Here is a 26,167-nt window from a genome sequence, read left to right on the forward strand (position 1 = left end):
AGACAGCATTTCAAGCAAGGGGCATGGCCAACTGTAGGCAGGCCCAGGCTTGGAATGTTTGGAGAGCAGAGGAAGGGCCAAGTGGTAGGAGCATGGTGAACGCAGAAAACTCTCCAGGGCCCAGGTCATACGGGGTCTTATAGGCGCCCTTTTCAGTATCTCTGGTTCTCTTGCAGTTTGCTGGGAAGCCACTGGAGGGCTTTAAGCAGGAAAGCAACAGCCTGCGTTTTCCAAAACTCTGAAGACTGGAGAATGGCTTCACGTAGGAAAGGGAGGAGAAGGAGAGGGTGACTTGGACCAGGGCAGTAGCTGTGGAGTCGGAGGGAAGCAGACTTGTCACATATTGCCTTGGCAGGAGAGCCAGCAGGATGCCAACGGCAGGTGTCAGGACAGGACCCAAGGCTGGTGCTTGAGTGTGGGTGGCAGCACCTGGGGGAAGGTGGTGTCACCTCTTGAGATTGACAAGACTGGGGGAGAAGTGGACTGGAGGGCACCATCAGGAGCTCTGTGTGGGCCTGGGGGGTTGGGGCACCTGTTAGATGTACAGAGGGGAGACAGTGGTATCAGATGGCTGGGCAGTAGATCAGTCAGTCATTTTCACATGTGGCCGCTCCACACCACTAAATGCAGTTTTCTAAACTACATATTCGTTGGCCTAGTTTTAAGCTAACATCTTTTTTTTATTTTTATTTTTTGTAGAGATGGAGTCTTGCTCTGTCACCCAGGCTGGAATGCAGTGGCACAATCATGGCTCCCTGCAGCCTCAAACTCCTGGGCTCAAGGGGTCCTCTGGCCTCGGCCTCTTGAGGAGCTGGGAGCCGCCATGCTTGGCCACATCTACATTTTTAATCATAAATTTAAGTCGTTGCAAAGGATGTAGTTGTTCATATATTGACATTTTTGATACTTTAATACTCAAATCATGCCATTAATGATGACACTGGCTGGGCATAGTGGCTCACACCTGTAATCCCGGCACTTTGGGAGGCTGAAGCTGGAGGATTGCTGGAGTTCAAGAGTTCGAGACCAGGCCGGGTGCGGTGGCTCACGCCTGTAATCCCAGCACTTTGGGAGGCCGAGGCGGACGGATCACGAGGTCAGGAGATGGAGACCATCCTGGCTAACATGGTGAAACCCCTTCTCTACTAAAAATACAAAAAAAAAAAAAAATTAGCCGGGCGTGGTGGTGGGTGCCTGTAGTCCCAGCTACTCGGGAGGCTGAGGCAGGAGAATGGCGTGAACCCGGGAGGCAGAGCTTGCAGTGAGCTGAGATTGCGCCACTGCAGTCCAGCCTGGGCGACAGAGCGAGCCTCCGTCTCAAAAAAAAAAAAAAAAAAAAAAGTTCAAGACCAGCCTGAACAACATAGTGAGACCTGGTCTGTAATTAAAAAAAAAAAATTCATGCCAAGCCACTTTTCTTTGTCAGAAATTAAAACCCTTTTTCTACTTGATTTCCAATTTCCATTCCATTCATTTCCCCAATATATCTTTATGCATGAAAGCCTTTTATTGATTGTCCTATCATTTTTCTCTGCAACAAAAATATGCATATAAATTGATAGGTTTTTAAAAAATTATAATATAGGCTTCTGAGCATTAGGTTTTTTTTTCTGGACTGAGATAGAATTTTGATTATTATTAGCTGGTATGTTAGTGGATGAGTATACTTGTAGTTTGAATGTGATAGCATTGAGAACAGATTCTATTCCTGTTTTTCATCTTCATGATGTGCTATGAAACCTTACTTACATGAATAAGTAGATGGGAAGGGAAGTTTTGTTAGAGGAATGTCACTCAGTTCTTTGAATTCCTTCCCAGTTGTAAGTCAAAAAATCACATAGTGATCTTTCATGTAAAGTTGTTTATAAAAGTTATTTACAGAGTTGACAGTTTCATTAATTAAGTTCTTCACTTTCTCTCCACCAGCATAGTTATTTCAAATTGTCCTCTTTACTTGGGTCTGGAGGTTCTGCACTCCAGGATGATCCCCCTGTAAGAGTCAGGTGGCTGAGAGCATGCCCTTTGGGGATCAGGTTGCTAGAAGGTGATTGTTAAAAGAGACAGTGGGAGACCCAGGGGCAGTGGCTCACGCCCGTAATCCCAGAACTTTGGGAGGCCGGCCGAGGTGGGTGGATCACCTGTCAGTTCGAGACCAGCCTGACCAATATGGTGAAACCTCGTCCCTACTAAAAATACAAAAATTAGCCAGACGTGGTGGCGGGTGCCTGTAATCCCAGCTACTCGGGAGGCAGAGACAGGAGAATCGCTTGAACCCAGGAGGTGGAGGTTGCAGTGAGCCAAGATTGCACCAGTGCACCCCAGCCTGGGCAACAGAGCAAGACCCTGTCTAAAAAAAAAAAAAAAGACCATGAGGGGAGCACAGACCCTCCTTTTGGCAGATGAATGTAGACAGAGTTGATCTGGAGTTTGGGATCTTGAGTGTAACACCCACAGCCACATCCCCTTTGGAAAGCCTGTGTGTATCCGCAGAGAGGTTTGTATTCTAGTTTGAAGCCTTCTGGGGTATTTGAGCCCGGACTTCTGGGGAAGGGGGGTAAGGAATGGCAATGTAAAGTGGGGATCATTACCAGAATGCACATCAGGGGAGCATTGGGCCAGATGCGACTTCCCGAGGGTGCACAGGGCCCTGAGGACTTGCCCCAGCAGCGCCCATGAGGCGACAGCAGTGGGCCACTGCCACACTGCAGAAACCGAGAGGAGGAAATGCCTTGAGATCAGGGGCCAAGTCAAGTCACAGGCCACCCAAGGTCAGGCAGCCTCTTGGTTTTGTGGCTTCGAGGTCCCTTGTGGGGATGGTGGCCTAGATGAAGTAGGCTGGGAAGAGCGTGGAAAATGAGAAAGCAGGGGCAATGACTATAGGCAAGTTTTGAGAAGTTTGCTGCGAAGGAGAACACAGATGTAAAAGCAGGACAAGGCGGAGATGGGGCTGTGAAGATAAAAGGTGCTGGCGCACACCTGAATGGAAATAGAATGATCCAAGAGAAAGGGAAGTAGCACAAGAGGGGAGGAGGAGCTGCATGGCTGGAGACCCCTGTGAGAAAGCAGGAACAGGACAGATTCAGGATGTCCTGTCGGGGCATGGACCCTGGAAAGCTGCGGACACCAGGAGGGCAGGCAAGAGAGTCTCATCTCTTGCTCCCTAGGAGCTATGAGTTGAGGGCGCCGTCTGAGCAGGAGGGACGGACGGGTGCCCAGGGTTTGAGGAAAGAGGGGTGTGGGAAGGACGCATGCTAGAACTTCAGAGCAGTTCAGCAGGTGCAGAATGGGAGTTATCATGGGGACTGTGGGAGAAGGGGCGGTGGGGGCAATGCCCAGGGATGTTCTGATTCATGTTCTCTGTGCTGCAGGTGAGCGTGGCTCTGGGCTGTGCCTCCCGTGGACGGACCATTGCTTTTGCTAGCACCTTTGCTGCCTTTCTGACTCGAGCATTTGATCACATCCGGATAGGAGGCCTCGCTGAGAGCAACATCAACATTATTGGTTCCCACTGTGGGGTATCTGTTGGTAAGGGTTCTAAATGCCATCATCTTGGTAGCCTTCCTCCTTCACAGAGAAAGATTAGCATGTGATTGGTTAAACCACGAATTTCCTTATGGTTCCATGAAGTTTGATTATTCAAGCCTTTTTCTTGAAAAAGCCATATTGTACTTTAAAAGTGTCAGACTCTCAGGGCAACTTTTGAAGTGCATCTCTCGGTGGTACTGTTGTTTCAGACAGTGAGAAACAGTTGCTTATCCCGAGTGCCCCTTGTGTGTTGAGCTGCGTGCAGGTTATGGACAGGACTGGCAGAGTCATGGAGCCTTTTCTGCCCTCGCTGTGGTTGCAGTCTAACTGAGGGTGAACAGCATCACAGAGGACGAGGAGCATTCTGGCTGGCTGCACAGCCTGCTCAGGTGGGAGGGGGGCTGGGACCACCATCACCACCTTCCTGCCTGGGGCAGCGAGAACCCTGGAGCGTGACACGAGGCAGGAACTCTTACAAACACACCCTTCTCAGAGTAGTAGTCACCTGGCAGGTGGGCTAGAAGGAAACCACAGGAAACGGGAAGCCAGAGAGGGGATTGAAACAAGGTGTGCAAGGTGGTGGGGGAGAAAACCAGGGGGGTGGGGGGGGACCTGAGAGTGAAGAAAGAGGTGAGTGTGCCTAACAGATGGAGCACTCTGCAATGGCGTGAAGAGCAAAACACACGAGTCTCCGGGATTCCTCACTTGGGAAACGTCAGAGAGTCATTTTCGTGAATGACAGAAATGACATGGGAAAGATGAGCCAGCTGGCGTGCCTGTGGCAGGCAGATGGGCTTACTAGATGTGGCTGCACACACTTGCTTCTAGAATGCCAGAGATGCACGCTGGAAAGCCATCTCAGGGACTCCCTGGGAGAATGAGGCTGGACGAGATGGCTCTAGATGGAGCTAGAGTCACGGCTGTCTGGGTGAAGCTGGAGGCACAGGTGGTGGCCAGAGAGAGGAGGCGCGGCAGTGTTGCAGGGGCAGAGGGGCCTAGGAAAGGGTCCTTGAGCCCACCTGTGGCTGTGCTCAGTTTCAGTTTTGAAATAGTCACATGGAGAAAGTGACTCTAGGTTCCATCCAAAGAAGAACTGGAAGGCTGGGCGCAGTGGCTCATGCCTGTAATCCCAGCACTTGGTGAAACCCCATCTCTACTGAAAATAGAAAAATTAGCCAGGTGTGGTGGCACGCACCTGTATTCCAGCTACTCAGGACGCTGAGACAGGAGAATTGCTTGAACCCAGGAGGCAGAGGCTGCAGTGAGCCAAGATCACACCACTGCACTCCAGCCTGGCGACAGAGAGAGGCTTTGTCAAAAAAAAAAAAAAAAAAAAAAGCCAGAGCGGTGGCTCACACCTGTAATCCCAGCATTTTGGGAGGCCGAGGCAGGTGGATCATCTGTGGTCAGGAGTTTGAGACCAGCCTGACCAATATGGTGAAACCCCATCTCTACTAAAAATACAAAACTTAGCCAGACATGTTGGCACATGACTGTAATCCCAGCTACTTGGGAGGCTGAGGCAGGAGAATTGCTTGAACCTGGGAGGTAGAGGCTGCGGTGAGCCAAGATGACCTAGTGCGCTCAAGCCTGGGCAACAGAGCGAGACTCTGTCTCAAAATAATAATAGTTAATTTTTTTAAAAAAAGAGCTGGGCTGTTGAGGTTAGACAGTGGTCCTAGGCAAGGCAGTGTGCATGGTGACAATCCCCTTCCTAGCTGAGAAAAGCTAAGCTGCCCAGTGCACATTAAGATTTCTCTTTCACATTTCTGGTGAGAAACTACGTTCCCAGATACACCCTAAAGTACCCTGTAGCACCCTCAGCATGCTTTGAAGGTGTGTTAACTACTTGGAAGGCCTGGAGAAATGAAAAAGACCACTTTGGTATGCAAAACCCGGTCTCTGGATATAGAAAAGATAGAGCAGAAAAGGGAGAACAAAGCCTGAGGACCTTCCTAAAGAGAACGGGTTCAGAGACTTAGCAGGCCAAACTCAGGCCACCAATGCTCAGCCATCGTGGACAGTAACTTGGAGTGATCCATCTGAAAAGTCAGCTGAGACTTTTCAGTTGACTAACCCGAGGTGTCACAGTGTGATCTCAAGGGAGACAGGCGTGCAAGAACACAATGTAAATGAGTTGTGAGGATGCAGCGGGACCATTTATGGGGCTCTGCTACAGCTCGGGACACCCCGTGGCAATAGGAATAATTGCTTCTTCAGAGCTAGAAGTGGGTGGAGGGCAGGTTCCTAATGGGGTTATGCTCCTGTTTTCATCGGGCTCTGGTTCTCTCAGGTGACGATGGTGCTTCCCAGATGGCCCTGGAGGATATAGCCATGTTCCGAACCATTCCCAAGTGCACGATCTTCTACCCAACTGATGCCGTCTCCACGGAGCATGCTGTTGCTCTGGCAGCCAATGCCAAGGTATTTTTAAGGGGACACTAGTTTCAGACAGAAAATGCTTCTGGACTCTGCTAGTTTCATACTGATGATTGGACTTTTTTTTCTCAACATAAAAGTGATATTCATTATAGAAAATTTGGTGATAGAATTCTTTACAAAAAAAACAGGAGATTATGCACACAAACACATTTGCCTTGTAAAAGAGTCCAACAGTACAGGATACTGAACAAAACCTGACAGCCTGTCTCAGTCAGGGTTTAGCAGAAGAAACAGGGACCATTCTGGGTGTTGTAAACAGGAGAAGGTGTTTAACAAAGGGTGCTTAAGAAGCCGCAGGAGCAAGCTTCAGGCAGAGTCCCAGACTATAGTGTTAGTCTCCAGTGGCTGCAGCCAGAGGCCAAGAAGCTCCTGCTGTGTCCTGACATCCAGGAAGCTGGAGAGCGGGTGGTAGGCTACCACTACAAACGAACCCGGGTTCCCTGGCCCTGGCTTGCCTTTGGAACAGCTTAGGGCGCCAAGAGTGTGTGGGACCTCATGCAAGGGCATCAGATGGACAGAATCAAATTCCTGTTCAGAACCTAGCTGCACGGGAGACGAGGCAGTGTGGTCTTGATCTTTCCAGCCTTTCCCACTAACGTTCAGCAGGTTTCCCTTGCCACCCTGGACCTCGCCCATGCGCCACACAGGTAACCCCTGGCACAGTCGGGATGGGGACTGTATGTTCCCTTTCCAAGCACTCATGGGCGTTTCTTTGATTTTTTTTTTTATAAGTGGGCTCCCGCTTTACATATTATTAGGTACTTTTTTGTGTGGTTTTTGTGTTTTGTTTTTTGGGTTTTTTTTCTTTGGAGACAGAGTCTCACTCTGTCGCCCAGGCTGGAGTGCAGTGGCACAATCTCGGCTCACTGCAGCCTCCGCCTCCCAGATTCTCCTGCCTCAGCCTCCTGAGTAGCTGCGACTAGAGGTGCACTCCACCACGGCCGGCTAATTTTTGTATTTTTGGGGAGAGACAGGGTTTCGCCATGTTGGCCAGGCTAGTCGCAAAACTCCTGGCCTCAAGTGATCCACCCACCTTGGCCTCCCAAAGTGCAGGGATTATAGGCATGAGCCACCGCACCTGGCCAATTGTGTACTTTTAAAATTAGTTTATCTTGGAGATTGTTCTGTGATTTCACACGTTATAGGGTTTCATTTCTAGAAAGGTCAAGAGAGGCGCAAAACAAGATTAGGTGATAGAAATTAGAGTAGAGGTTGCTTCATAGTGGGGGGAGACTGACTGGAAGGAGGCACAAGGGAACTCTGCTGGCGGAAGCGCTGCTGGGCTTGGATGAGGGCTCCACGGCGGATGCAGCATTCAGGAAGGGCTGAACTTAGGATGTATGCATTTCACTGCAGCTGAGTTATGCCTCGGTGAAGACACTGAATAAAGATGGATCATAGCGTATGAACGAACAGTAGCGACGTTTCTTGCTATATTCGTTTATAATGCATCCATTAATATGTATGTAAATTAACAAATACTTTAGACATACAAGTGTTCATTTATACTGGTAAATGTTTATGTGCTCAAATTGGTCATAAAAATGTATTTACATTTTATTGGGAAAGGGGCCAGTCGTCTTGTATTCAGATAGATGTTTATGGTCTTTCTAAGGATGAAGCATTACAAGTTATTGTGGCAAAAGTTAATGTTTTAACATTCTATTCGGGCTTTCTAGTCAATGTGAGTCAGTGCTCCTGCCGTGAGTTAATGTTCTGTCTGCACAGAACAAGTCAGTGAGTATTGGGGAATCTTCCAAGGGGATTGGTGTGATGGCATGGGGGAGCTTGTCCTTCAGGGCAGCCCCAAGGTCCTGCTGGGACCTGTCGTCCACTGGTTGTAGATGCTCACCCCTTTCTCCAAAGCCTGTGTTTTTAGTAGAAAGAGCTGTCCTCTTCACACCCCTCCTTCACTTCTTTCAACGTCTGTTGTTGGAAATTCATTGTTTGCTTTTCTAAACCATGGCTCCATTTATGCCCTAGGGGATGTGCTTCATTCGGACCACCCGACCAGAAACTATGGTTATTTACACCCCACAAGAACGCTTTGAGATCGGACAGGCCAAGGTAAGGGCTTACGCGCTCCTGCGTTATTCAGTATCATCTCCTGTAAAAAGAACACTTCTGAATCTATCACCAGCTATCTTCAGAGTTGAGACATCATCCTTTCTTTGCTCTCATTTTTTTAAAAAACAGTTGTGACCTTTACCTGCTTTTCCTTGGGAAGGAACATTCTATGAATTTCAGCTTAGCCTGAACTTTTCTGCTTTCCAAATGGAGTCTTTTGTTGTTGTTGAGTTCAAAGATAGTAACATGAAGCCACTTGAGCGGTCGTGGCTATAATTTATCTTGGCCGCAAGCTAAACAAAACAGAAGCCAGCGCTTTGGGAGGCCAAGGCGGGAAGATTGCTTGAGGCCAGGAATTCCAGAGCAGCCTGGGAAACATAGCGAGATTCCCATCTTTACAAAAATTTTTTAAACTAGCCGGGTGTGGTGGCATCCACCTGTGGTCTCAGCTACTCAGGAGGCTGAGGAAGGAGGATAGAGGAGCGCAGGAATTCAAGGCAGCAGTGAGCTATGATGGATCACACCACTGTACTCCAGCCTGGGTGACAAGAGTAAGACCCTATCTCTAAAAACAAGACAAAAAATAATAGAAATCACTTGAAATGAATAATCTGTTAGGTTCAGATTTTACAGATCTAAGGCCAGGAATAAAAGGGAACATGATCTCTGGTATTCTCACAAAAGCCCTGAGAAGTTCAGATTATCAGTCCTATCTGTAGATGAGGATTGGAGAAAGTAAGTGTCTTACTTAAGGGTTTACAGCTTGTGAGTACCAAGACCAGAATCCAGGCCTGAGTAGTGAGCCCAGTCTCCCCAGGTCTGCCCACCACGCTGACCATCCCCTGCTCAGCCTGCCTGTCAGGGCCATGCATAGAGAAAAGCAGAAACGTCTATGGAGAAAATAAGTGACTCTGCTCATCACCTAGGGAGTGGGGCTTGTAGACATTTTGGCATGCTTCCTTCCTGTCTTTGTTCTAGGCATACATGTATATTTTACACAGTTGAGATCATACTGAATAGAAAGGTTTGCCCATAGCCACTCTTGAAAGAGCAGCAGGTAACATCCAATTTGGTTGCTAAGGACTAGGCTGCTCCAGAATTCACAGTTGCAAGTACTCAGAATGGCCAGAGTGCTGCCATAAAGCAGGTGTTTCCAGAACTGTCCACTGTGTGCCATAACGTAGCTGGAAAACGCCACCAAATGGAAAAGTTAGTGTTCACCTTTGGTGTTAACTACAGGTTCTGTTTCTATGGGGAGGGTCTCTTGACATTCACATGGTTTGCAGAGCTTGCTTATTTCTGTCGTCTCTTTTCTAATAATTTTCCTGTCCTGACAAAAGCAAGTAAATTTACTGATAGTAAAGGATGTGAGATAAATGTGTGTGATAACATGCATGGCATGGATCGTTAAAGGGCTGGGCTTTGAAAAGAGGACATGGATATGTGTGCATGCGTGTATAAGTATTTTAAGAGGCCAGGACATCCTTAAAGAATGGGGTGGCTCAGAAACCCTTTCTGTACTATCAGCAATGGTTCTTAAGCTACAGGGAAACCTATACAGAGGGGAAGTGGAGAATAATTCCAGATGCCTCCGATGGGTAGCTTTGGAGGCAACAATCTATGAAAGAAGCCCAGGAACTCTGTCTTTGCTTGCAGAATAGTACGTTGTCGAGAGCGAGGGCTTTGATGTCAGCCCCGCCTGGCTGTGGGTCCCAGCCCTGCCCTGGGCCACTTCCTCCTGCTCTGAGATTTGCTTTCCTCAGCTGCAGAACGGTTGTGCCACTGAACAGATCTTACAGGGAGGCTGTGAGGGTTCTCAGAGTTCAGGCACACAAGATCTTAGCACTCAGCGTGTTGCCAATGCCCAGAATGTTCTCATTAACATGTTAGTCACTGGAGTCCAATCTTTGCATGCCATAGTGAGCTCTCAAACCAGACTCCTGATGGGTATGTGGCGTATCCATGCTCCAGGACAGCTGGAGCAGTGTAATTTCCTATCAAAAAGTATGTGTCCTGGCTTGTAAATGCATCTGATTTTTTTAGTAGTGAGTTATTAAGGAGTGAAATTGTTAGAATTGGGGGATAGCGGCATAGCAAAGTGCCTTCCACTTTGACATGCATTCTGTGTGTAGTAACCACGGCATTCTGTTTTGCTGGCACTATACCAGGTCCTCCGCCACTGTGTCAGTGACAAGGTCACAGTTATTGGAGCTGGAATTACTGTGTATGAAGCCTTAGCAGCTGCTGATGAGCTTTCGAAACAAGGTCAGTTGGTTGAGTATGAGCATTGAAGTTCAAGCTGGGAAGAGGTAGGACTTCAGCTACCTCCTGTGCCCTGAGTGCTCTTTTTATTTTTATCCCTGCATGTTATTCTGAGTCTCTTTCTTGTACCAAGCTGGTTTTTGCTGTTCTGCAGATATTTTTATCCGTGTCATCGACCTGTTTACCATTAAACCTCTGGATGTCGCCACCATCGTCTCCAGTGCAAAAGCCACAGAGGGCCGGATCATTACAGTGGAGGATCACTACCCGCAAGGTGTGTGTGGGCATTGAGAATGCTTTGGAAGGTTTTGGTGTTTTTGTTTCCTTGATTGGCCACATGGCATGCTCTCAGGCATCACCTATAGTCTACCTCTCACCCAGCATGGCTTTGTTATTTGATGTTCACTAAGCGTGGGGCCATACTCATACACATCTGTGTGTCCCCAACAGAGTGCACAGTGCCCAGTCACCAGGGCGGGTCAGTGGCAACACAGAGGAGTGGCTATTGCAGGCAAGCGAGGTGTCATGAAAAGCATCGCAGTTTCTTTGGGTTTGGAATGATGAATAGTATGCCCCAGGCCAGGCGTGGTGGCTTACACCTGTCATCCCAGCACTTTGGGAGGCCGAGGCAGGTAGAGATCACTTGAGGCCAGAAGCTCAAGACCAGCCTGGTCAACATGGTGAAACCCCATCTCTACTAAAAATACAAAAATTAGCTGGGTGTGGTGGTGCATGCCTGTAGTCCCAGCTACTTGGGAGGTTGAGGCAGGAGAATCACTTGAACCCAGGAGGTGGAGGTTGCAGTGAGCCAGGATCATACCATTGCACTCCAGCTTGGGAAACAGAGTGAGACTCTGCCTCAAAAAAAAAAAAAAAAAAAAAAAAAAAAAAAAAAAAAAAAAAAAAAAGTGTGCCCCGACGAAAGCAGGTATAGCAGAGAACACAGCAAATGCAGAAAACAGTGTGTCAGGGAGAATGGGCTGGGCAGTGTTTGCGCCTGGAAAGGTTAGGTGGGACAGATGATGTGATACAAGGAGCATTGAGTGTTCATGCGGCAGGGGCCCTCTGAGCCTGCACAAGCGGTGCCTGATCTCTCGAAGGACTCCTGGGACCCAGCACACAGTTGCTCTCACACCTGAGGTTGATGACAGGGAAAGGGTGCAGGGGGGGATCCACCAGGGCAGGAACCATGGGCCAGGTGGAGTTGAAAGAAGTCCTGCCCCAGCCTCCCCTTGGCCCCACAAGGGGCATACTGAGAAGTGCCTCCCACGCAGGCTGTGTTCCTGCCTAAGGGATGCCTGCTAGAGACTTGGCACCTCAAGTGTGTACTGGGGGCAGGTCCTGTTGGCACCCTCTGCCAGGCAGGTACCCAAATCCCTGGCTCCCAGCAGGAAAGCAGGTGCTCATGTCAACCACATTGTTCCTACAGACAGTCCAGGTGCATGACCGCCCTGTCTAGTGGGGAAAGTGTTAGAGTAGCAAGGGAACCTTCACGAGCCAAGAGCTAACCTTGCCAACCAACAGCCTCAAGCCAGCTAGTCACTTTTCTGCACTGTTAATTCATTAGTTCTAACCATTTTCAGGTCCCCAACAGCTTTGAGAATCAGAGTGCCACAGACCCCCACACTCAGGCAGCCCTTACTGTAGGTTGAGGCAGAGCAGTTTGGAAACTGGCAGTTTAGAATGAGAACTCCGCAGGCCCATCGGAGTGGCTGTTCACATGAATCAGATTTTCCCCTGGGAAGCTGCAGATTCAAAGGCCTCTATGTGGTGAGGCTTTAAGGCTGACGAGCTGCTTTCACAAAAGGGCCTAACATCCTTGTTTCCCCAGGTGGCATCGGGGAAGCTGTCTGCGCAGCCGTCTCCATGGATCCTGACATTCAGGTTCATTCGCTGGCAGTGTCGGGAGTGCCCCAGAGTGGGAAGTCCGAGGAATTGCTGGATATGTATGGAATTAGTGCCAGACATATCATAGTGGCCGTGAAATGCATGTTGCTGAACTAAAATAGCTGTTAGCTTTGGTCTTTTGGCCTCTTTACCCTGTGTTTATGTTTGTTCCAAAACCATCATTTAAATCTCTACTGTCACATTTTGTTTCTTAAAAGCAAAGCCAGCTAACACCTTCATTCATCCCTAGTTCGGAAATTCAAGCTAACTACTTACCCTTTAAACTGTCACTGCATATGCAAGTACCGCTCTAATTTTTGGATCATTAAAGGGAGTTACACAACTTTTAAGTGAAAAAAATAGGTAACAAAACAACCACCTGATAGTAAGTTTTCTGATAAGACTATAGATAAGTGGTAGAGGTAATCAATTCTTCCGAAGTGTTTCCTTCGTGAATAACTGGTAGAGGTAATAGTTTTTTCAATGTATTTCCTTCATGAGTAAAGAAAATGTGGATTGAAGTATAGATTCCAGTAGCCTAGTTTCCACAGCACGATAACACCATGACGCCTACTGCTGTTCCCACCTTGGGATTCTGTGTGCTGCCATCCCACCTGCAGCTGCCCTGGAATTCCCTTCGCTGTTTGCCTTCATCTCCCTCCACGTTTGAGAGGCTGTCAGGCAGCAGCGAAAGCTTGTTAGGATGTCCTGTGCTGCTTGTGATGAGAGCCTCCACACTGTACTGTTCAAGTCAATGTTAATAAAGCATTTCAAAACCAGCTGCTTTATTCAGCACGTGCCTTCTGTGTGAATCAGTTTCTCAGTGGTCAGTTCCTAAATAAGGAAAGAGCTTTTATCCAAACCAGAAAGAGTGAGCCATGGCCCCCACCAGTAAACCTGGGAAAGAATAATGGGCTGCAGAGGAAGCACTCGCTCGAGGACAGCACCTGGCCTGAAAAGCTGTCCCTGAGCTGACGCCTTCCTGTCAGCTATAAGCACATAAAGTATGTGGCTAGAGGCCAGGCGTTGTGGCTCACGCTTGTAATCCCAGCACTTTGGGAGGCCAAGGCAGGTGGATCACCTGAGGTCAGGAGTTCAAGACCAGCCTGGACAACATGGTGAAACCCCCTCTCTACTAAAAAAGACAAAAATTAGCCAGACATGGTGGTGCACACTTACAATCCCAGCTACTCGGGAGGCTGAGGCAGGAGAATTGTTTGAACCCAGGAAGCGGAGGTTGCAGTGAGCCGAGATCCTGCCATTGTACGCCAGCCTAGGAGACAGAGCGAGACTCTACCTCCAAAAAAAAATTTAAGAAGTATGTATCTAGAATCAAAGTGTCAACCAGAAAAAGATGAACCTGAGCTTCAAAACTAGATTTAAAATTCTACTAGATGTGTCTGCTGTGTCACATTCCTGTTTTGGCTTTGGTTTTGTTTTGAGACAGGGTCTCACTATGTTGCCCAGGCTGGTCTCAAACTCCTGGCCTCAAGTGATCCTCACGCCTGGACCTTCCAAGGTGCTGGGGTTAGAATTACAGGCGTGAGCCACTATACCCAGCCCATTCCTTATTTTTATTGCCCAAATTAAGTGGTCAGAGATCTTTGGAGTCATGACCAGTGTGACTGAGGAATTGTTCTAGAATGTGCGGGATAGAGATGGAAGCACTGGCCTGGGGCTTGGAGTCCTCAGGACCTCCTCCTACTCCTGCCCTTGTAAGTCACTGAGCTGGTTTCCTGGCCTGTAAAATGAGCATGATGATGGCTCTGCTTATTTCATAAGATTTCAAAATTTATTTTGTAAAAATAGTTTCTATAGGGTGATTGCAGAAAATTTAGAAAATGCAAAGAGGCAAAAATGTTTTACCTCACTTATCTCACTACTTCGAGGTAATCACAGCTTCTCACACTCCAGACAATTTTACTCATTTAAGGTATACAATTCAGTGGTTTTCATTCTTTTTATGGCCACATACTATTCTATTGTATGGAGATAACACATTTTATTCTTCCATTCAGTTGATGAATGTGGATTAGTTCCACTTTTGTCTCTTGTGAATAGCGTTCTGACAATTCACATATTTTGTGAAGATGTAGGTTTCACAAAATATGTGAAAGATTTTGTGTAGATGTAGATTTTCCCTTCTTATGGACATGTATACTAGGAGTGGAATTGAATTGCTGTGTCGTAGGATAATTCTGTGTACCCTTTCAAGAGTGTGGTGGGGGGTGGTGTTTAAATACCGTTTTGTGAGGAGTAGATGCAGTGACACTGAAGGTGGCTGTAAAGCATTACTTTAGAGGAAGGCATTCTAACAGACAAGCCACGCTTGCTTGTATTCAGGTGCAAAATGTCAGGTTTGGTGAGACCACAGGACACATAAGCGCACGGTGGCAACAAATGGAGCAACAGATTCCATGATTAAAATGTGCAATTTCTAAACACAGGAAAGAGCCCCCAAAGCCTCACTTCAGTCCCCTAGAAGGTTCTAGGCAGAAACAGTAGGGCAGATCAAAGGAATGAGAGCATAGGAGCCATGATCACCCAGCGAGGGGAGTGAGCCCTGTTGCCAGCTTGGCCTGGCTGTGGCTTCTGAGTAAACACGTGTGTTTGTTAACTGTTAAGAACCTGGTAATGAATACTCCCTGGAAGATGCCATGGACCCTGGCCTCTGGCCAGTCCCCTCGCCCTTGAGTCCTCCTAACATCTTATTGCTCTGATTACTTCCCATGGAGAAGCCAGCCAGCAGGGACTCGGGAACCATGTGTCCCAAAACCTGGCTTGAATCCCCAAATCTGCTTCTTGACTGTGGGGCCTTGGGTAGCTGTAGAAGGGGATGATGGTGCTGATGACGGGGACAGCATGTATCCCACAAAGCTGTGGTCAGGATGTTAGTGCCATCTTTTCGAAACACCCATGCAGGCCCACCCTGCATACCTGGCAGCTTCCTACTCCCCAGCACCCCCAGCACGCCCTCGGCTGGCCAGCCCCATCGGCCCCTCAGCACGATCCTTCCCCGCCTTGCTGGGATTATGTTGGGGCTGGCAGCAACCAACCCGCCTGCCCGCTTCTGGGCCAGGCAGCCCTGTGCAACCCGAGCTGCTCCCCTGTCCCCGCTGTCCCACCGCCCTCCCTGGACGCCTGCTACCCACCATCAAACACCGCCTCGTGCCGGCCCCGCGCACCCTCCCGCCCCGTCGGCCCCACGCTTCAGGCGCTACCTGGAGGGCATGGCTCCTACCCGTGGGCACTCGCCTTCACCCTTGGAGCCCGGCCTTCCCCGGGCAGCCGGGAGAGGTTCTACCACTTCACGAGGCCTCCTCGCCCTGCCAGGCCGAGGTCAGGGTTAGAGAAGCTGGGTCGTTAGATTCGGGAGAGCTGGAATGATCTGATGTGTCATTCCGTACTTGGGTGAGGAAGCCGAGCACGCAGAGTTACCGCTCAGGGCAGGACCTGGGCTGCACCTGGTATCAGGGCCCACGTGAGAGATACCCTCCCTCCCTAAGTGTGTACCTGACGCTAGTTCTGGGTCTAACGGCAACATTCTAGTTCTAGGTCTAGTTCTAGGTCTAGTTGTAGAGGGTCTCCTGGATGATACAAGTGAGTGTCCACTGGCAAGGCTCCTCCCCAGGTAAACTTGTGACAGAGTTCTCCAGCAAAGAAACACCAGTCCCCCAGACACGGGAGGTCGAGCCGCCGCCACTACCAAGGGAGGTGCAGAGGGACTGGGGGCTTCTCGAGTCTCAGCTTCAACCAAGGCCAACCAGATGGCCCCATTCCGGGTTTCAGGGTCCCATTCTTCCCACATCACTGCCCACGATTCACGTGTGAAATGTGGCGAGGCTGGAAATTCATCACTTTGGGAATCTGTAACTGGCACAATAAAATGTGTTTGATTGTCAGAACTGTCAGCCCTGCAAGTACAAGGAGTAAGGGAACTTTGAGGCCTTTCCTGGAAGCACCCTGGTTCTGTTACTGTGGCTTGAGCTGAGAGTTAGGGAGCCTGAGCCCATTGTGTCTTCATGGTACATAGTCAGGGCCACTAAGGATCATCCCATACCACAGCCCTCATAGCCATCCGTGACCACCATGACAAGTCAGGTGCAGCAAGGACTTGAGCTCCCTGGTGCTTGTTTCAGTTGGCCCATCATCCCAAGCAACCGAAGTGACAGCTAGATTAATTGTGAAGCCACTGCAGGCCATGGATGGCTCATGCCCCACTTCCCACTGGGAAAATGCTCAACCCTGCACTCCAGCCCAAAGGCAGGACCAGACCAATCGCCAGATTCCATGTGCATAGGCCTTTTCTTCCAGAACCTTACCCAGGGCCAGTTCTGGATTAGTCAGGAACCAGTTAGGAGACAAAAATACATACCTAGTATCTCAAGAAAGGGAAGTGAAAGCGTATTTACTTGGGGTTTGAGGGCTGAAAGTGCAAAAGGGATACTGAAGTAACAGAGTTGGTGAAGGAAGAAGCTACAACCCCCAGAGCAGGGAGGCAAAAATAAAGATGTTGGGGTGACCAGGAGTCTAGTACTGAGCCTGGGAGCATGGAAGGCCTAGGGCTCTGGACCTCGAGGAGGGGCTGCTGCAGTGCGTCACAGAAGGAGGAAGCCACATCATCTGCTAAGAACGGGGCAGGAGGAAGTGTCTTTGGCATCGTCTTCCAGGTCACTCATTCTGTGTTCAGGGGCATCAATTTGCTGTTGAGTCCATTGGATGAGATTTTCATTGCAATGACTAGGCTTATGTACGTGCTGCTTTTCAAATCTCCCTGGATTTCTAACTCTTCTCTTTTGTATCTCTTTCTTTCTACCCTTAGGTTGTTGTGTCAGAGAGACTATTAGAGATCTGAGAAGTCAGTAGCTTTACATCACAATAATGCAAACATCTATGAGAACTGCTCTGTGATCTGCTGAGAATTCTAAGCTGGTCAGTCTGTGCTTGCAGAGTTCAGCCGATCAGGCCCGAGAGGAGAACAGCGGTTCTCATTTTACCCTCCTCTGTTTTTCGCGTGATGACCCGAGGCCTGGGAGATACTGAGCCAGACTTGCCTCCGACTCCTTCCTTCCACATGCATCACACTCCACACACCACACACCACACACCACGGGGAATCTCCAAAGGGCAGGAGTGGGAGGGAGTGCAGCAAAGCCGAGAAAGGGCTCAGGCTCTGGAGCCCAACTTCATGAGTCACATTTCCCTCCTGTTTTTGTCTGAAAATGGGGGTAACACTGGCACCGACATCCTAGGGCTGCTGTGAGGAGGGGGTGGATGCTCCCAGCCATTGCTGACAATGATGTGATTGGGGATCTTTGAGGATTCCACCCCGGAACCCTGACAGGTCCAGCCTTACTCTTTGACCTGCCCACTGACTCTACTCTCCATGACGGTGGCCAGTGCTGTCATCGTGAGGCTGTGGGCCCCACTTCAGCTTTACCTCCAAAAGTCCTGTGGCAGAATCCTGGGGTGACGTGTCCCCTCTATGGAAGGTAGGTTGTCTCTGCCAGGATCCCAGCAGTATGACCGCACTAAGGAGGCAAGGTGATCTATCAGCCAGGGCTCACAGAGACCTGAGCCTTTTCCCCGTGCCTGTGGGCAGGCAGGCCGTGCTGGAGGGTGCTCAGGGCACCTGCTGGGAGGCAGGCAGATTCCTTCTCACCTGCTCACGCAGACCCAGGCTGACATGGACCTGCTATCCCTGAGCTCCCTGTGCTGAGGCAGCGCTCACCTCATCTTTCCTTTATCCCGGAAGTAACCTTGCAAAAACACTGGGTTGAGCTGAGGGGTTCCGTTCGGCACACTCACCTGAAGGCACAAGGCCTCCTGACCCAGAGGCCATCAAGACCAAGTGCAGCAAGCTGCTTCTGCACGGCCCCAGCGTCAGGTCCTGCTTAGGCCTGTTTTTTTTTGGTTGTTTCTATTTTTTTCTCTGTATTTAGAGATGGGGTCTCACCTCGTTGCCCAGGCTGGTCTCCAGTGATCCTCCTGCCTCAGCCTCCAAAAATTCTGGGATTACAGGTGTGATCCACCGAGTCCCGACCCCTCTGTGTTTTCATTTGCTCTTTGTTTCCACCCAGGGACGGCCCTCACTCACCTGTGGCCCAGGTATGCTTGAAATGACACAACTACAAGTTGTATCATTGCTCCTTTCCTTGCCTTCTCCCAAACTCCACTAAGGATGCATGGAGGACAGGCGATGGGGTCTAACAGGTGTGATGCTCATCCCAGCCTAGTTAGCACTGGCTCATGTAACCTAGACCACAGGCCATAGCTGGACAGGGGTGGCGGGGCGACCTGCCCAGCTTGGGTCAATCAGGAATTTGTAACGGGCACTCAGAAATCTCACCTACAGCTGGGTGAGGTGGCTCACGCCTGTAATCCCAAGACTTTGGGAGGCCAAGGTGGGCAGATCACGAGGTCAGGAGTTCGAGACCAGCCTGGCCAACATGGTGAAACCACGTCTACTAAAAATACAGAAATTAGCCGGGCATGGTGGAACGTGCCTGTAATCTCAGCTACCCAGGGGGCTGAGGCAGGAGAATCTGGCTTGAACCTGGGAGGTGGAGGTTTGAGTGAGCCAAGATCACACCACTGCACTCCAGCCTGGGACCACAGAGCAAGACTCTTCTGTCTCAGAAAAAAGAAAAACAACAAAGAAATTGCACCTACAGTCTCCTCACTCTCTAGTGGGCATTAAAATGAACTTTCTGTAGCCAGTTTGGGCAGAGGGAGGATACAGCCTAATCCTGGGTGCCCTAGAAGGTCGTGCAGGCTGTTCTCGGCACAAGGACACCTTCCTGGGGAGCCAGAGGGCTGAAATCCCTCCCGTGTCCTCGCCTCCAGCCGAGTACCTGCCCCGAGAGCAGAGTGCCTCTTGCTGATCCGCACATAAGCCTGCAGGGGTGGGTGGGGGCCCTGGAGCCCAGACAGGCACCAAGGAATCTTGCAGCCCTACAAGGTGAGGACGGGGGAACTGTCGGAGTTCCACCTGTTGGCTCCTCTCCCTCCTGACCTTCCCACGGGAATCCTTCCAACCGTTGGCTCAAAGAAATTGAAGTGGGTTTCTCCATTGCTACCCTCGCCATCTAGGACTCCACTGTCCTTTTTTTTTTTTTTTTCTGAGATGGAGTTTCGCTCTTATTGCCGAGGCTGGAGTGCAATGGCACAATCTTGGCCCACCGCAACCTCTGCCTCCCGGGTTTGAGCGATTCTCCTGCCTCAGCCTCCCGAGTAGCTGGGATCACAGGCATGTGCCACCATGCCTGGCTTATTTTGTATTTTTAGTAGAGACAGGGTTTCTCCATGTGGGTCAGGCTGGTCTCAAACTCCTGACTTCAGGTGATCTGCCCGCCTCAGCCTCCCAATGTGCTGGAATTACAGGTGTGAGCCACCACGCCCGGCTTTTTTTTTTTTTTAATTGAGACAGGTTCTTGCTCTGTTGCCCAGACTGGAATGCAGTGGCATGATCAACACTCACTGCAGCCTCGAACTCCTGGGCTCCAGAGATGCTCTTGCCTCAGCTTCCCAATCAGCTGGGACTACAGGCACACGCCACCATGCCTGGATAACTTTTTTTTTCTTTTGTAGAGATGGGGCCTTGTTAGGTTGCCCAGACTGGTCTTAAACTGCTGGAGCCAAGTGATCCTCCTGCCCTAACCCTAACCCAAAGTGCTGGGATTACAGGCAGGAGCCAACGTGCTTGGCCAGACTCCATGGTCTCTTACCTGGACCAGGACGATGGCCCCACCCAGGCCCTCAGAACTGTGGGATGAGGTGTTTGCTTCTGGCTCACCCACGAGAAAGAAACTCCCGGAAGGAAGGGACCGTGTCTGGAGCGCTCCAACTCCAGGCCCCAGACTGCAGGTATCCCTTGCCAACAGAGCTGAGGCCAGCAGGGGAAACCATTCCTGCCACCTGGACTAAGAATGAGATCCTCTTGAAAAAAAACAATGTTAAGAAGTGGGCTCTTCCCATCACGCCACCAGAGTCCCAGGAAGCCAGGGATGTGGGTGTCTAATGGTCCGGGACAAGATGATGGGAAACTTCACATGGAGAAGAAAATGCCCAAGAATGACTGAAACTGTCTGCAAGGTCCTGCTAAGGGAGCTGGCAGGTGCACCAGGTATGGCGAGATGCAAAGCAAGGAGCCCACTGCATCGTTCCCTGGAAGGACAAGTGCAGAGGAGACCACAGATGCCTGCGCATTTAGCAGGAGTATGGCAGTGCCATCATGGGGGAAAGGCTGTGTGACAAATGGTATGGAGGAGACTGACTGTCCCTTAGAAAATGGGAAAGGAGCCAGGCGCGGTGGCTCACGCCTGTCATCCCAGCACTGTGGGAGGCCGAGGCGGGGGGATCACTTGAGGTCAGGAGTTCAGGACCAGCTTGGCCAACACGGTGAAACCCCGTCTCCACTAAAAATACAAAAAGTAGCCAGGCATGCTGGCGTGCGCCTTTAGTCCCAGCTACTCGGTAGGCTGAGGTGGGAGAATTGCTTAAACCCAGGAGGTGAATGTTGCAGTGAGCCGAGATCGCGCCACTACACTCCAGCCTGGGTGACAGAGTGAGACTCTTTCAAAAAAAAAAAAAAAAAAAGAACAGAACAAACATAAGAAAATGAAACATCAGTGTTCTTGAACCCAGCAATCCTACCCCTTGATAACCTCAGCAAGAGCAATTCTCCCTTCTCGCTAAGGCCACATTCCGTGCCATGGCCTTCGTGGCATGGTTTGTGGCACACCAGGAGCTGAAGCCCTGGGGTTGCATCACTCAGGGTGGGAATGATCAAATGTGTTGCATCCAAGCTCTGAAATCCTCTGCAGGAGCACAGGAGTCAACTGTACGTCTCCAGGGCCACAGACAAAGAGCTGAGAAACCCTGTTGAATGACGGAAGCAGTCAGCAGAATAGGAATGCAGCACAGGGACAGTTACGGTGGGCAAAACCATACACACAAAAAATCCACAGGTGCAGGGCAGTGGCTCACGCCTGTCATCCAAGCACTTTGGGAGGCCGAGACGGGCAGATCGCTTGAAGCCAGAAATAGGAGACCAACCTGGGCAACAGGGTGAGACCTCGTCTCTACAAAAAAATAAAATTAGCTGGCGTGGTGGCACATGCCTGTAGTCCTAGTTACTCCAGAAGCTGAGGTGGGAGGATCACTTGAGTCTGGGACATCAAGGCTGCCGTGAGCTATGATCACACCACTGCACTCCAGCCTGGGTGACAAAGCGAGGCCCTGTCTCAGAAAACTAAAATACAATTGAACAAACACATTCCAAATGACACCACATTTTAAATGACCCCTTTGGGAGGGAGGGGAACAGGACTAGGAAACAGGGAAGAAGGAAAAAGCGAAAAGCTACAGTTCTCCCATCTAATTTTCAGCTACCTAAAAAGCTGTTAGCCCAAAAGGTGCTGGTGAGGCTGTGGGTAAACGCTGAGGGTACAATGCGAGGGACGGACAGTATCAAAGGTAGGGTCTTTAGGGGAGGCAATTCCCTAGTGTCTCTTACAATTTTAAATGCAGGCCACACAAGGTGGGACACATCTGTAAAACCAGCACTTTGAGAGGCCAAGGAGGGAGGACTTGAGCCCAGGGGTTCAAGACCAGCCTGGGCAACACAGTGAGACCCTGTCTGTACAAAAAGAAGTTTTCTAAAAAAGCCAGGGATGGTGGCACACACTTGTGGTCCCAGCAGCTCAGGAGGCTGAAACAGGAAGATCACTTGAGCCCAGGAGGTTGAGGCGGTGGTGAGCTGTGATCGAGCCACTCCACTCCAGCCTGAGCGACAGACTGAGATCCTGTCTCAAAAAAAAAAAATTTTTTTTTTTAATGTACATATATCTCGACCCAGCAATTCCACTTACAGGTAATTATTCTAGAGAGAGATGGATGCACGTTCAAGGCTGTGTTCATAGTAAATGCAAGGTAGAAATAATAATGCTTTAAAAGTACATCAAATGGAGGCCCGGTGCAGTGGCACATGCCTGTAATCCCAGGTACTCGGGAGGCTGAGGCAGGAGAATCACTTGAGCCCAGGAGGTGGAGGTTGTGGTGAGCTGAGATCACGCCATTGCACTCCAGCCTGGGCAACATGAGTGAAACTCTCTGTCTCAAAAAAAGAAAAAAAAAAGTTTAAAGTACATCAGGCCGGGCGCGGTGGCTCATGCCTGTAATCCCAGCACTTTGGGAGGCCGAGGCTGGTGCATCACTGAGGTCAGGAATTTGAGACCAGCCTGACCAACCCAGGTGAGAGGTGAGAGGATCCCTTCAGCCTGGGAGGCAAAGGTTGCAATGAGCCGAGATGGTGCCATTGCACTCAGCCTGGGCGACAAGAGTGAGACTCTATCTCAAAAACAAAAAAGTTGAAATTATAAAAAAGCTAAAACAAACAAAACAAAATCACTACAAAACGTGTAGCATAACGGTTTTTTTTTGTTTTTGTTTTTCAGACGGAGTCTCACTGTGTCACCCAGGCTGGAGTGCAGTGGTGCGATCTCGGCTTGCTGCAACCTTCACCTCCCGGGTTCAAGCGATTCTTCTGCCTCAGCCTCCCGAGTAGCTGGGACTACAGGCACACGCCACCACGCCCAGCTAATTTTTGTATTTTTAGTAGAAACGAGGTTTCACCATATTAGCCAGGCTGGTCTCGAACTCCTGACCTCGTGATCCACGCGCCTCAGCCTCCCAAAGTGCTGGGATTACAGGCGTGAGCCACCGCGCCCGGCCGCATAATGGGTCTTAACTTGGCTAATTATGTGGGTGATTGCACAGAAAAATAGTATAAATAACTTCATGCTTTTTTATACATGGGATAACTTGCTTCAAGTTGTTTCAAAAACGTTTTTTTTTTTTTTTTTTTTGAGACAGAATCTTGCTCTGTCACCCAGGCTGGAGTGCCGTGGTGCGATCTCGGCTCAGTGCAACCTCTGCCTCCTGGGTTCAAGCGATTCTCCTGCCTCAGCCTCCTGAGTAGTTGGGATTATAGGCGAGGGCGCCACCACGCCCGGCTAATTTTATATTTTTATTAGAGACAGAGTTTCACTATGTTGGTCAGGCTGGTCTCAAACTCCTGACCTCAAACGATCCACCCGCCTCGGCCTCCCGAAGTGCTGGGATCACAGGCGTGAGCCACCGCGCCCGGCCTCAAACACCTCTCAATGATTCGCTTGAGTATGTGTAAAGTGATGCACAGGCCACCCTGAAGACCTTGGTGGTTTCTATTGAAACTACACATCAAGCCGGGCGCGGCGGCCGGTGCGCGGTGCCCAGAATCCCAGCACTTTGTGAGGCTGGGGTGGATCACCTGAGCCCAGGAATCCCAGACCAACCTGGGCGAAAAAGCGAGACCCCATCTCTACAAAAAGTAAAAAATTAGCCGGACATGGTGGTGGCGTGCGCCTGTAGTCCCAGCTACACGGAAGGCTGAGGCTGGAGGTTGAAGCCCTCGCTGGGGTGGAGAGGTCAAGGCTGTAGTGAGCCCTCATCGCGCCACTGCACTCCAGACTGGGCGCAGAGTGAGACCCTGACTCAAAAAGAAAGAAAAGGAAAGAAAGAAGGAAAGAAAGGAAGAAAGAAAGAGAATTACAAATAAAGCTACACATCCACTTCTACACTTCTGCGTGGACTCGAGCGTTCAAGATGGGCGTGGCAACCCGATGACAGGAAACCCTACACGGGCGTGCTCCCAGCAGGCTCCTCCGTGAGGGCCACCAGCCACGGGAAACCACGACCTTGTCCCTCACCAGCAAAAGCTCAGCCTGCGGCTCCGCGAGCGTGGACCGTTCCGTGGCCATGAGCGGGAAGAACCACGGGCCCCCGCCAGGGGCTGGGATGGATCTCGCGGGCGGGAGGCGGAGGGTACTCGGCCCACCCCAGCGGAGGACACCGCGTGGGTCCGCTGAGATAACGCTCCGCGGTGATGGACTCCATGACTCCCGGAGCAGAGCCCTGGCTGCGCTGCACCGCGGGAGGGAGGGGCTGCGTCTACTGCGGGGCCACGAGAGGGAGGGGCCGGGGCCGGGGCCGGGGCCGGGGCCGGGGCCGGGGCGGGACAGGAACCCGCGCAAGCGCGGAAATGCCCACGGCCGCGCCCTCCCGCGCGCACCGCGGCGACACCCGGGCCGCCCTCGGAAGGCACGGACGTCGCGCCGCGCTCCCGGGGCGCTTCACTTGCGCCCACGGCCGACGCCCCGGCAGCGGCGGGCAGGTGCCACGACCTCTGGACGTTTGTCGCCCCTTCTCGGGAATGGAACGCTTAGAGAAGCGCAGGTCCACACCCAAAACACAAGGCGGCACTGTTGCGTGTGCACCGGCGACTCTGCGGCCAGCGCCCTGGGTCTCGCCCCGGGAACGCCTAGGAGCCTGAGAGCGCCGCGCCACACCCGGCAGGGCCGCAGCGGCGCGCACGCGACGGGGTGTCGTCCACTGGGCAGCAGGAGCGTCAGTCAAGGGCGAGGGGCGGGAATTCCGTGCAATCTGAGCATGGTCATTGGCGAGGACAGGCGAAGAGGAGGACGGATAGGCGGGGCTGGGCGGGGCTTCCCGTGGGCGCCTGGAGCTTACCAGGAGCGACCGAAGCGGAGGCGGGGAGCGAGGCAGCTGTGGGCCCCGGCGGGCGGAGACTAGGGCTGTCCCTCCACGCCCCGCCCCCGCCTCGGCACCGCCTTCCGCGCCTGCGAGTCCTGGGCCGGCCCTGCGGGGCATGCGCCGAGTCCCCTTCCTTTGCAGACCGGTGGTCACTGTCTTCCCCCGGGGACGAGGCGGACAGGCGTCGCCTGAGATCAGGGCCCGGGAAGCCCCGTGAGCCGCTCTCGCCTCGGCGCCGTCGAGGGGCCGCCCCGCCCTTCCCACTCCACTGTGCTGCGAAAGTGCCTCGGGGCGCGTCTGGGGGGTCGTGGGGAAGCAGGGCCGCGCCCACCCGGCAGCGTCCAGGGAGAGGTGGGCAGAGCGGGGCGGGCGGCCGTCTTGGGGGAAGTGGCGTCTGGAGGTGTCTGTGCACCATTCCGCGGTGGCGCGCGGTGGGGTAACAAAGTCTTCCCCGTCCCTTGACAGCGGCGGCCGCCGGGGAGGGAATCCTGCTCTGCTGCGGGCGGTCGTGGGCTGGGGCGCTTCCTGGCCTGACTGTCTCCTGGGGGAGGTAGGAAAGGCGAGCCCCGCAGAGAAGGCGGTGGCTTCCCTCGACGTGGGTGCCAACAGGAGCCATCCCTCCAGCCGGTCTTCCCGCGGGAGGGTGCCTGGGAACACCCGCAGGGCTGGTTCCAGCACCCATGGGACCGCTGGGTCCAGCCCAGTGTTTCCGGGGAAGCCCCGCCTTACCCGCCAACCTTCCCGCACCGGGAGGGTTCCCAGCTGCTGGTGATGCTGCTCAGGCGACTCCCCGCAGCGCCACCACCCACCCCCCCGGGAGCCGGCCGCTGGGTTTGGCCCGTCCGCCCTGGTTCCTCTTTGCTGGGCTCTGAGGCCCGGCGGGACTTCTCCGCGGCGGCTCTGGCGACCCAGCATCTCTTTGCCCTGGGGTCAGACGGGCTCCCAAGGAATTGCATCCCGGTGGAGAAGACGCTTCCTTCCCTCTCCCTTCCTCTCCTCCGCCCCCTTTTGCTCTCTTGTCCTTGCACTTTGCCTTGTCCGTGTGTCCGGCTCTGTGTGTGTGTGACTGACGCGAGCCCTTAGTCACCTCTTGCTACTATTTTCTCCCCTTATTATCACTTGTCTCTTGACTGTGTGGTTTGCGGGTTGTGCTTGGTCACAGAGGGGATTTTAGTTTTCGTGTCATCAGAATCTCCAGGCTTTCCTGATGGCTTCTGGGGGTTCTTGTCGGTTTGTTTCCTTCTGGCTCACGCCGTGTCTTGCCCCCTGGACGCTGGGCACCAGTTCCGACTACTGGGTAACAGACGACTTCACGTTTCGGTCCTTCCCCACCTAGCACTCGTCTCACCCCCCCAGCACTCGTGTCACCCCCCCAAGGGTTCTGAGGGAC

The 26,167-nt window shown here is 51.6% G+C and overlaps 1 protein-coding gene and 1 long non-coding RNA gene across 4 annotated transcripts in view, besides 3 other annotated features; one reads left to right on the plus strand and one right to left on the minus strand.

Moving 5' to 3' along the window:
• TKTL1 (transketolase like 1) overlaps positions 1-12,962 on the plus strand; it is a 34,556-nt gene extending 21,594 nt beyond the window's left edge. For all 3 annotated transcript variants that reach the window (NM_012253.4, NM_001145933.2, NM_001145934.2), the window contains 6 exons: positions 3,369-3,525; positions 5,819-5,949; positions 7,951-8,034; positions 10,203-10,299; positions 10,451-10,570; positions 12,128-12,962. In NM_012253.4, coding sequence (NP_036385.3) covers positions 3,369-3,525; positions 5,819-5,949; positions 7,951-8,034; positions 10,203-10,299; positions 10,451-10,570; positions 12,128-12,300 — 762 coding nt within the window. In that variant the 3' untranslated portion in view covers positions 12,301-12,962. The remainder of the gene's footprint in view (positions 1-3,368; positions 3,526-5,818; positions 5,950-7,950; positions 8,035-10,202; positions 10,300-10,450; positions 10,571-12,127) is intronic.
• On the minus strand, positions 16,567-18,140 carry LOC105373386 (uncharacterized). Its single transcript, XR_001755979.2, has 2 exons — positions 17,624-18,140; positions 16,567-16,886 (listed from the first exon to the last, which is right to left on the minus strand). It is a non-coding gene; the product is annotated as an uncharacterized LOC105373386 (long non-coding RNA).
• Positions 16,685-16,904: an enhancer, noted in NCBI's record as "active region_30055". NCBI's record gives its function as "activates an Ori minimal core promoter by ATAC-STARR-seq in GM12878 lymphoblastoid cells {active_cell/tissue: GM12878}" and the evidence as "EXISTENCE:reporter gene assay evidence [ECO:0000049][PMID:35858748]".
• Positions 18,524-26,167: part of a biological region, named in NCBI's record as "Xq28 proximal FLNA-EMD recombination region", that runs on past the window's edge. NCBI's record gives its function as "recombination_partner: LOC107988033".
• Positions 18,524-26,167: part of a non allelic homologous recombination region, noted in NCBI's record as "proximal repeat sub-region recombines with the distal repeat sub-region within the Xq28 distal FLNA-EMD recombination region, resulting in an inversion", that runs on past the window's edge. NCBI's record gives the evidence for it as "EXISTENCE:Southern hybridization evidence [ECO:0000078][PMID:9140403, PMID:9384614]".

The sequence above is a fragment of the Homo sapiens genome, chromosome X (genome assembly GCF_000001405.40).
Source record: "Homo sapiens chromosome X, GRCh38.p14 Primary Assembly".
Taxonomy (NCBI): domain Eukaryota; kingdom Metazoa; phylum Chordata; class Mammalia; order Primates; family Hominidae; genus Homo; species Homo sapiens.